We start from the raw sequence: 12103 nt of genomic DNA, 5'->3' as shown, positions 1-12103 counted from the left end.
GCGGGCGCTCGGAGCATCCCGCGCCGCGTTCTCCCCGCCCCGGCCCCCGCCCGCCGGAGCGGGGCCCACGCCGCTGGCAGCCATCAAGTGGCTCGTTAAGGAAATGCAGGTGAGTGCGTGAGGCCGAGCGGCAGCTGCTGGAGACGTGGGGTGTGTGCCTGTGAGTGCGAGCGAGACGAGGAGGGAGCGCCAGCGAGCGAGCGAGCGAGTGCGGGAGCGGCCGCCTCGGCTCCCCGCCCAGCCGCGCCCGCAGCCGGCGGCCGGAGCGCGTGGGGGCAGCGCCTCGCCCCGACAGAGCCTCGCCTCCTCCTTGCCGTCTCGGCTGCTTCTCCGAGGAGCCGGGAGCCGCTCATCGGCCTCCCCAACCCTGCGCTCCCCTCCCAGCCCGAGTCCTCCCGCTGCTCTTTCTCCTCCTCCTCCCGAGCCTCCTCCCCTCCGGCGCGGCGCCGCCAGCCAGCCTCGGCGGGGAGAGTGCAGGTACTTTGCCTTCAGAATAATTAGCAGGACCCAAGCCGGCTTTCCGAGCGCGCTTTCTTTTTCTTCCTTTGCCCCCTCCCTCCGGAAAAGAAGATCCCACTTTTGAAACAATCAGAAATCGAAGCACCCCACCAAAGCCAAACCCTGACGGGCTGCTGTGCATGTGCCATCCCTTTTTGCAGTTTATTCTGGGCCTGTGTGGAATAGAAAGACAATTCTTTATTTGACTGGTAGGAAAGAAAAGAGAAGACTCCTCAGGGTTTCCAAGGAGGACTGGAGCGGCTGCTTTAGTAAGTAAACTGTGCTTCTGTCTTTCTTTTCTCTAAAGTGAAGCATATGCTGATGCTTTTCAATGCCCAATGTCCAATGCTGTGGACAGTTTATTCATTTTACCTGGGAATAACTTGACTTATATAACTTCAGTAGCTCCTATTTGAGAAGTGGTTCGCTAAGCATTTTTTTCTTTTTTTTTTTTTTTTGGAAGAGCCCTTAGAAGACTTCGATATGGGATCAGTATGGGCAGCCTTACTGGAAAACTGATTTTTAAACGTTTATTGTTCAAGGGCTATTGGAAGCCTGCTTTGTTAAACATTGGTTGGTTCTAAGATTTAAGGGTGGTTATCTAGAAAAAGCTTGAAAAATCTAACCCTACTGGCTCACTTCTCCTGCCACCTTCAACCTCAGCCCTAATCCATGCTAACTCCCACCCTACTCTGACTTCAGTTGGTTGGTTGTTTTATCTTTAGTTCTGAAAAGCTCTAGAAAAAAAAAGGGGGGGGGGGCGGAAAAGGGAAAGTTAATAAGGATGGTTTGAAAGACCAGATGAAAATTCTGTTGCGATTTCTTCATGCCTGTAAGGAGATAATAATTGGAGGAAAATCCTGGAACTAGAATAGTTGGAGAATTAGAATGAACTTAATTTGGAGAGAGAATGTGAAAAATACTTTGGAGAGGGCAGGGCTGAGACTGTGACTTTGACACAGCGGGTTATAAACTCTGACAGGGCTCAGCAGCCAGTGACAGGTTTAAGGTGTCTCCTAAGGCTGAATATCTCTGCATCAAAAACTTTTGCAGGCAGTATTCCTCTTGGGGCTAACATCACCATGTCAGTAGCTGTAGCATTTCTTTTTACAGAAGTAGGACACTCTTCTTTCTACAAAAGGGTTAATAAGTTCATTATACATATATATAAAAAACATGTAGTCTAACATTTGCCAATATTTTGTAATATCTAAATAAAACCTTTGTGTTATGTCAGGAAAAATATAGTTGACTCAGTTTGTTTTGCACAAGAGGGAGAGAATCAATAACATTTCAGCATTTTTTTCTTTATCACTGCCAAATGGATTCTGAATCTAATTCTTCTTGCATTGTTACATATACAGTAGATACAGTAGGAGTTGCAACTTAGACAAAACAGACCTGATTTTTAACAAATCCTAAGTTTTTTGACATGGTAGTACTTATACTGACTAGAGTCTAATAGTGATTAGAAAAAGTTTATCCCTTTTATCTTTAACTGTTAATTTCTTTCTCAGTATAATACATACTTTTTAATAAAAACCCCTTATAAGTTAAAAACCAGATTGAAAAGTAAAAGTACTTATCTCAGAGAATTTCTTTCAATAAAGCAGCTTATTATTAATTATACCTAAGGGCTTCCTTGTATTTAATTGTTGATAATGGTAGAATGAGTATATTTTTACCTCCTTATTTACTTAAGTGAGTATATAAAAGCATCTGTATTCATGGGGGATTGGTTTTAGAAATTATAAGAGTAAGCTAAGTTACAATTATTACAAAAAAGTAGAGATGTTTTAGAGTTGTTTTGATTACTCAGTGTTGAAAGCTCTAAATATCTTGGGCCATAAGTTTTTAGGGTAATGAGACAGGACAATAGAACAGTTAATGAATTGGTTGACATGAAGTTATCATATATGGAATCATTTGAGAAAGATGTGTCATTGTTTCTTGATTATTATTTAATTTCTTATCCAAATGAGTTTTCTTAGACATATTACTGCTCTTAGCTAACATTTCTATTATTGGTTTAAAAATGAATTTAAGTGATTTAAAATGAAGCCCTTGGCTGATCAGATTTGGATTATAGCACATAACCTCTACTCATTTCTGACCTCACATGTCCGAGAGGCTATCTGATATTTGGAAAAAAAAAAACTTAATTATTGAAAAATAAAGGGGAAGATTGTACCTAAGTAGGGCAAATTTAACAGTGGTTCAAACATGTTATTACATATATTAGTATAGGACATATTTTACACAGTAGAGAAGACATGACAGATTTGTGCATTCTTTTTGAATTTCTGAAAGCAAATATTTGTAAGTAACATTAAAACTAACCTGACATACATTCTGCCTCTGTTGTAATTATGTCATAGTGCTAAGGAAAATAGCCTGAATGAAAGCTGTTTCTAGTAAAGCTTGCACATGCATTTGATCCCTGTCTCTATATAATAACAGATAAAAATGGCAAAGCAGGATGGGTGATTAAATTGTCACCTTTTTGGCCACCAGCTCTCTGTCCTGTACAGAGGTAGTTGCAACTTTAAAGTTGAGAAGAAAGTTGCTAGTGTCAGCAGTAATGTGTTTTATTATGCAATTGTTCTTGTTATTCAGATCAGATAATGGCCCGATGAAATACATAAGCAGTCTGCAGGGAATGAATGATTAATTCCTCTTACATGTGCTTACTAAAGGGGTTCTTTCTAATAAAGTGCTGTATACCTGCATTTGCTTTCAGTTGCTGTTGGTGAAGGCAAACATGTTTTTCTTTTCTTTTAATATTAACATAAAATTTACAAGCCTACTCTTGTAACTATAGCAACATAAAGATGATTTTGTTGACCACATGGTCTTATATTTTATGGAACTCAAGGCATGATTACTATTTACTAAATACACTTAATTTAGAAAGAAAACAATGCTAATTAGATGTGATATTGGAAGGTTGAGCTATTCATAACTTTTTTTGCTTTATTCTTTATGGAATGCCATGATATCTTTCCTGTGTATTACTAGTAGGATGCAGGAATCCAAATGTATGCAGGTGCAGAGTTCTGCAAATGCACATTTTTCTTTAATAATGCTGGAGAGTAAGTGAAAAGCTAAAATATTGCTAGTTATATCCAAGAATTAGCAGAATATTATGTTAAAATTTTAGGAATGACTAATAGTGCACATGACAATTATTGTGGTTACCACTGGTGTAAACTGTTCTGCAGTTAGAGAAGTGTGATTAATGTAACTTTACAATTCTAAAACTGGATTATGGTAGAGGGTGGTGAGTGAACAGAATTTATATAATAATTTGATAATAGGTGACCTGAAATGCATGTTACATGTTTGAAACTTACCTACTTAATGTCTTTTTAGAAAATTCTGAAAAAAATGTGATTTTCAAAATTACAGAATTAAATATATCTATCCATGTGTCTCTATTGATCTAGCTACTATCTATGTATGTCTCACATTTAATGCAGCAAATAACATTATTTCAAGTTCTCTCTGTTGTTTGGAGGAAACACTTTAATTTCAGTTACATATTTTTGGGCTTACACCTATCCTGAATTTAATAAACTTTAACAATGCAAATGATATGACAAATATTCAAGAATGCTAATTTAAAAGTTATAATGAAAATTAAATAAGTAGAATTTTGTACCCAGTTCAATGCCATTTGAACTTATCTTCTTATGTATTAAAGTGCAATTTCTTTACCACTACTGTCGGTTCACTGTTTTATTTTTTTAGGATTGTCAAAAGCATTTGGCATCCGTAAAGAATAAATAAATGTCTCCTGATACAGTCAAACAATGTAGACATTAACTGTACTTGTAACAAGCTTTTCAAAACTCTTAAAATTCACTGAATGAAGAAGAATTAATGAAGAATCAAAAAATGAACATTACCCGTTAGGAGAACACTGATGTGATTGTAGTAACAAAGGTTTTGAGTTTATCTTTCATCACTACAATTGGAAGTGTGACCCTAAGGAGGTAATCTGGACTCTCTGTACCTCTGTCAGGTAAATAAATTGGCTTAGCAATTTGAAAGTCTTTCAAGCTATGTGACTAATATACTGAATATAACTGAAGTTGCATTTTGCAAATTCTCAGATTATACTGTGGCAGTTTGAGAATCCTGTAGGAGTTAGGGGCAGCCATCTTGTTTGAAAGAGGGCTAAGGAAATTGTCCTGAAGTCAGGTCAGCAGTGCCTGGACACTCTTGTTACGTAGATTGAGATTGAATGTTTATTTGGAGTGTTTTTGAAGGAGCAGGATGGAGATTATGGAAGGGAAGAGGTGGACTCAAGTTTCTCTAAATGACCCTATGCTGCTGCCACTGAGAGCATATTACATGTATAATTATTTTTGGATTTTATTACTGTACCCAATATCAGAAGGATATGAGAAGAAAATAAGTAAAAGGGGATGCTTAGTGTCTTTGGTCTTCCTTTTTCCCACTCTGAAATCTCTATGTATGCTATTTTGCAGCATCACATTTGGATAAATATGCACAATTTAAATAAATATATATTATTCCTTACATACATGTAGACTGTAAGAGCTAGAAAGAACCATAGAAAAAATTATTTGAACCCTTGCATTTTAAAGAGGAAATTGAGAACTTCAAAAATAAAAGATATCAAAGTTGGTTGAATATCCCAGTTTCACAGAGAGGTTTTCCATCCTTGTTCAGTACCATCTCACATGCTATATTGCCAAGTAAATACACAGACAATAATTTTTACACCTCTAACTACATTATCAATAAAATAGTTTCATTGATCTTGTAGGATACAATACATTAACTTTAAAAAAATGTAATAACAAAACTTCCAATCATGGAAAATGAATACAAAGAAGGAATATATGCAATGTTAATTTTAAATGCTTGCTTTTCTTAAAGAAAACCAATAATTTATTTTTCATTATAATTCATGTGATATAACTGATGAAATTGGAAACTTTTTTTTTCTTCTAGGAAAATCAATATGACCAATTGTTTTCTATATGTGATAGGAATATTTGAGTTGCAGCAAGTAGATATGTATCTCTATGAAATGTACATTTTAAATCACTGAAGTCTGGGAGATCATGCTATACTTATTTTTTTAAATTGTAAAATATAGCCAATATAGCTGATTAATTGTAGAGACTTCAATTGCATTTTATTTTGTGTTTGCATGTGAGCATTTATGTATCTGTGTGTGTTTAAAAACATCTGTTCTCTTCAAAATAGGACTTAGTGAAAATGGTGTACTCAAAAGTTTAAAAGTGTATGTATAATAATCAAACAGTCAAAAAGAAATGACTTAGACTAGTATGTAACATAACAAATTGCTCTCTAATTAGTTCTTAAATCAAAGTTCAACAATACACCATATTACCAAAGCGTTGCCTTTAATAATGAGTCCATGTATTTTCTAAATACTATATTATAATAAGTAAATATTTTAAATTTGAAATAACCATGAAGCAAAAATATTTTACCTCTATATTCTCAAATACATTTACTTACATTAGATGCTAAAAAGGAAGAGAATAATTTCATATTCGATTATATACATTTCACATGAGATCAGAGATAGCTTAAATTAAATGTGTGTCTTTTCTACTGGGATGCCTTGTATGAATCATTGCATATATAATGCTATCTGATTTACTCTGTAAGGGAACAATTAAAGTATTATGATTAAATACAGAATTCATGAACTTTTGAAATAATTCATTTTTAAGTTTGCAAATATTTACGTAATCAGCTACAGAAGTCTCAATGCATTCATCATATTAGAACTTCTGTGAATTATAGATTTTACAAACTGTCCAAAGTTATAGTTCTCAAATGTAGTTTGTGTTAAAAAGGGGACTCCTTCAGCAGCTACACGAACAGAGAACAAAGCCAGGCAAGCATTGTGTTCACATGCATTTTTTACTACTACCCACATGTAACATGACATACGTATCATAGGAATACTTCCATTCCCTTGTCTGGTTAAATAGTCCTTGCTCAGTTAAGATAAAGGCCTAGATATAGCTTCTTTATACCACATAGAAAATAACCCAAACCTCATATTTTATCTCAAGTTCCAGGAAAGGTTAATTTAGAGCACAGAAACAGAAAAAAAAAAAAAGAAAATAAAGAAGAAGTAATGGAGTGTTTCCTGTTTCTAAAGTGGAACCAGTGTAGGCCACTTACGAAAAACCTGTATTTAGAATTTAGGAAAAATACTCACATAAGCTAGCATCCTTGGGATTTTTTCCCAATAATTGGCCTCAAATCTTTATAATCAAAGTTAGAAATTCTACTCAGTGGAAAAGGATGGAGGGGGTAGAGAATGGTAGAAGGAGTGACTCATTAATCTCACGCTAGAGACAGAATTATTTCATTTCTTATTCTTCACCCAAATGGTTATCAGGATGAAAGATAAATCTTTCACCTTGGGGTTAGGTGGTCATCAGATTTCTAGGGAAGTCTGGCTCACACTTTTATCTTGTCACTTTTCCGTTTTTTTGCTGTTGATAACAATATAACCATCTGGAACCATTGAGAAGGACAGTTTATTCATGAACCATAGTAATTCCTGTTTGATTTTGCTACAGAAATCAAGGATAGGACAATAATTCAGGTACCATATTCACATTATGCACTACTCTTAGAAGTTGCACCCTCTTCTATTTTCAAACTACTTGCAGAGGTTGCACCCTCTTCTATTTTCAAGCTTGTAAATGTTGTCAAGTCAGAATCACTAGTCAGGATTATGCAATATGCATAATACGGCAGCATAAATCATATAATATTATCTAGTCCCAAATATGTATTGAGTCTCCTATGTGTCAAGGAGTGCTGAGTAAAACAGCCATGTGCTAGCAATTTGAAACTACCCAATTGTGACCATCTTATGGTCTTATAAAATGTATCCACGTTATCATAAAATTTTTGATTCCATAGAGAAAAAGGAATCTCTTCCCTAAGGCATTTCTCCCTTTATATCACAGAAAAATTTCCAGATACGTATCTACACTTACCTTATTGTCCTTCTCCTTTGCTGTCATCCTGAGTCACAGCTATTGCTTTTAGAACCTAGGTGGAAGCTGTGTTGCTTATTAGGCAGTTGCAGTCTATGCTGTTTTCCACTGGAATTTCTTGGCACCCTTCATCATCTTCTCACTCCAGTGCTAATTCCTTATGTGTGTTCAACTCTCCAAAGTTCTAGAAAGGCAGTAAAGCATGATAAAAATACGCCGTACTATCCTAATATTGACACAATATAAAAACACAAATAAATCGCCAGACCACTGCAGCAGTTTACAGTCTATGCACCAGTCCCTTATATTTCCAAATTCATAGAATACAATAGCAGTTACAGTCAAGACTCATGTTATTTTCAGCTATAACCAAAGCATAATAGCAGAAGTGCTTTGGTTTTCTCAGGAAAGAGAATAGACAGAGAAAAATGAGGAAATTCTTCCTGTACCTTTTGAGGTGAGATATTCTTATAAGAGGACTTATAATGTGTACTTTGGATCAAATAACCAAAGAGGAAGGCAAAAGTGCAATTTAAATGTTTAGAAATGTAGTGGGATTGTTAGATACTGCTGAAGTTAATAAGTTACCCTAAGTTCACGTCTTGATTTCTCTTAAAAAAAATCATGGAAACATCTATGACTTAAGTTTGAAGAGTTTCCTTTTTTATTCCCCCTGAAAACCTTTATCAAAGTACTACTCAGCAGGAACTTTTGAAAAACAGTGCCAAGATGATATATTGTTTCACCTTCAAAAAACTTTTATACCTGTAAATTTTAAAGCTAAATTATGTGCATCACAAGTATAGAAAAAATATTTCCCATTTGTAATTTCCTATTTTATTATATAATACATTCAATTAGTTCTCAATTAACACTTATCTATGGTACCTGTTTCAATGGACCATGGCTTATAATTTTAGTGTGTAAGAATTCCAGTGGCAACTCCTCTGAATAGATGTATTTATTGTGTGTCATATGTGCTAGCCATTTGTTTTCTCCTAGGAAACATATGTGGTTAGCTCTGAAAGAATAGCTTAGCCTCATCATTTATACCTGTGTGGTTGCAAGCAACAAGGCTTTCTTGCAGTATAATTGTCTCAGGGATTAAGTCTAGTGCTTTATTCTCCCATTTTCCTGCCCCTCAGGAGGATATTCCTTCCTTTTTATTTTTATTTTTTTTAGGGGCTTGAAGTCTTCCTATTTTCCCATACACCTCTCCCACTTGGAAAACATGCCAGGATTTAATAAAACAAATTACACATTCACTAAGACACATTCATACTGGCTTTTTGAAGTATTACATCAGTGCATTCTGAGAGATATTCTGATGGTATTATAGATACAGATATAGATAGCTATTTTAAGAGAAAGGAATTTCAGGCCATATTCAAGAATGCTTTGGTGTGAATCAAATGCTGCTGAATACAGAGATGAAGAAGCTAGGTCAGAATATGGTCAGAATAGGTCAGAATATATGGTCCTCACCATGGCAGGCTTTTCTTTCCTCCATTACTCATCAGTTCTCTTCCTATTTCTGTTTCTATTGCCAAGTTCCCCTCTTCTGCCTATGTTTTTTAACTTCATAGGGAGCTATGGTGACACACAGGAATGACTATGTTGGCCTTATGAACAATTAAAGGGTGTGTTATTAACATTATTAAATAGATTATACTATTGTCTGTATTGTGCATTTCTCTTACAACTCATTCATCCTTCTCATCCATATAATAATCTGCAGCTCATATGTAGTTTATCACTTCTTGTAGTGGGATTAAAAGAAGTATGTAATTACACTTTTTTGTTTCTAAATCAGAGATGGTTTCAAGGTCACTATGATCTTTTTATTCTTCTTGGTTTCTTGAATTTTATCTCTTATATACTGCCTCATGAGTTCTTGAGAAATCTTCAGATAGAAGGTAATAATAATAGCCAACACTTATTGACTGCTTCATATCTGCCAGTCACTATTTTAAGTGCTTTCCATGCATTAACTTATTTATACCCATATCATTCCTGTGAAGTTGGTACAATCATTATCTTTGATTTATAAATGAGAAAACTAAAGCACATAGAGGTTAAGTTGCCTAAAGTTAATAACGTATTTTCCCAGATGTGCATATTAGTACGGAAGGTAAATGCTACAGTTATCTAGATTCTGTACATGAAAAGCAGAAAAAGTGTGAGATTGTGGATCTGCTTTTATAAGACAAATTCTTTCAAATGAAGTGAGCACAAGTTATCATAAGTAAATGATCACAAATGTGAATGCAGGAGGACAGATACTGTAAAAGTGCTGCCCAGGGGAACAAAGAAGCAGAGGGCAAATCATATCAAGGAAAACTAACTCCAGTGTATCTCCTCCCAAAGTTGAGAGTTAAGCGTGGCACAAATGCTTCTGAGTGTATTTTTTTCTTCCTTTGGGATTTCCAATCTGTCAGAAAGAGAACCTGCTGTGCTCTCTGCCTTTCCCTGGGGTGGCCCTTCAAGCTCGGGTCCCTTTTCCTGGGAAGATTAATTCATTCAGTTCCTACCACTCTAACCTCTACAGCCTCTTGGCGTCAGATTTTATGGTATATCAGCTCCTTAAACACCTTGTTGTACTTGATAATCCATGACCAAAAGCCACAATTTTTGAACCAACCAAGAGTTTTGAGTTAGTTCACCTCATATGAGAGGCATGGTGGAATAGCAACGTGGAGGTAGGGAAGATAAGCTCATGGTGGAGTGGAGTGACATTTAGGATCAACAGGGTCCCATCTGCCAGTTACTATAATTCAGAGTATTTTAATGCATGCCCCACATAATAATGAAATGAGACTGTTGTGATTAACTGATGCAAGATAAAATGTAAGGATACTGATTATAATCAGCAAAGAAATGAGTAGGAAGCAGAAAACCAAAAATTGGCCTTCTAAGAGTCATTTTAATTACAATTATTTGTGGTGAACTATGTATTACCTATGCCTCATTGCCATCTATTCTGTCTCTTATTTACACCACTGCGTCACATTGTATTAAATTTGTTGAAATTTTACTTGATTATAACCGTAAATTACTTTTATTTTCTTATTTGTCTTTCTCATACGTTGATCACTGTTCTTATATCTAGCATGGCTGCTCACCTGACACAGAGTTACAACATAACTCATGGTTTAATCTTCAGATTACCTGGAGATGAAAGTGAAACTGTTATCTCCATATTCATCAAATTTTTTTAAAAAGTTGAATAAAATAATCCTCAGTAAACATTTATTGGGCTTCTAATATATGAGAAATGCTGCCTGTGTATTGATTGAAACCTGGTGCCCTAATTTTGAAAGGACAAGAGAAACGTCTTTGTTATATGAAATTATCAGAAATGTTATGTGAATTTTAAAAATTGAATGAAAAATATTACCTTTGCTCTTTCACAGCGAATTGGATCGACACTTCTTATGTCTCAGGTATACATTTGTCAGGTTAAAATTTTAATTAATACCACAAGATGGCAAAGCACATATACAAAATTGCGTTTCCCTACATTAGGAGGGATGCATAAAATACATACAAAAATCGGAAGTTAAAATATATAAAATAGAAAGTTAAAGTTGAGTTGTTTTGTGACATTTATTTCATGAGCACCAAATCTCTTCCTTTCAGGTGTGAAAGATATGTAAACACGTAGTGAACAGGATAATTGGATTATCTTTTCCCCTATGAGACAGCTCCTTTCTTCCCTAAGGTCTTCTGATTACTTGTTAAGAAAATTCAATGAATTTTCAGTTGTAAATGAGAATTAAGGAGTAGAAAATATGCCAACCTGAGCAGTTTTTGATGATGTAAACTTTTCCACTGGAGACCTTCATGGAACTGCTAAACTCTTAAACTGTTTGTTATGAGCTAGAGTTTTTGCCTTCTGTCGCTGAAAAGCTTGGAGAAGGAGCAGTGGTTAAAAAAGCAACACAAAGAAGTCCTCAAATATTTAACACATCAGCAATAATATAATTTTATTTCCTTTATTTTTACAAAGAAAGAAGATATAAAATTCAGGTCCAAAGTTTTTGTTTTGTAGTCACTATTCTAGATATTTAATATAATCATTATATGCAATATAATTTGAAAATACAGTATATATAGTACAAGATATATTGGATTAGGTCTCCACAGACAAACAGATGTAGTAAGTCCAGTTATTTAGCTAAAATAAGCAAAATTTGCAACTGTAAGACAGTATATTACTTTAGAAATGTAGGTTGTCTCATCAAATTTATGGTAGCCTCCACATTTAGCACAGTAGGGGCCTACCATAAAAATGATACCTATTAGTGATCAAGTCCTATCAGGCCAACATTTTTTTTTTAAATCAAATTCTTCCCTTTGGCCATAACTTTACTTCAAGGCCTTACCAAATATTACTTGGATGGCTACCTACTGTCTCCCTGACTCTACCTTACTTACTCTATTCGTTTTTTCTGCCACCAATGGGAATTTTAAAATGCAAATATGATCATGATTAAAATATTATTATTTTTAATTTAATGTAGGGTAATGTTAAGAAAAAATCTTGGTGTGACATCAAGGAATCTTCATTACCTAAA

General features: G+C 35.2%; 1 protein-coding gene across 38 annotated transcripts in view, besides 1 other annotated feature; it reads left to right on the top strand.

The window, feature by feature from the left end:
- Positions 9 to 218: a silencer, noted in NCBI's record as "silent region_19773". NCBI's record gives its function as "represses an Ori minimal core promoter by ATAC-STARR-seq in GM12878 lymphoblastoid cells {active_cell/tissue: GM12878}" and the evidence as "EXISTENCE:reporter gene assay evidence [ECO:0000049][PMID:35858748]".
- PTPRD (protein tyrosine phosphatase receptor type D) overlaps positions 163 to 12103 on the top strand; it is a 2298757-nt gene continuing 2286816 nt past the window's right edge. For 37 of the 38 annotated variants that reach the window (XM_017014961.3, XM_006716827.5, XM_047423649.1 and 34 more), the window contains exon 1: positions 660 to 767. The gene's annotated coding sequence lies outside the window, so the exon portion shown is untranslated. Of the gene's footprint in view, positions 478 to 659; positions 768 to 12103 lie in introns of those variants that run through there. The other variant, NM_002839.4, reaches the window with a different exon arrangement.

Source organism: Homo sapiens, chromosome 9 (genome assembly GCF_000001405.40).
Source record: "Homo sapiens chromosome 9, GRCh38.p14 Primary Assembly".
Lineage (NCBI taxonomy): Eukaryota > Metazoa > Chordata > Mammalia > Primates > Hominidae > Homo > Homo sapiens.
This window is presented reverse-complemented; position numbering and strand designations above follow the sequence as displayed.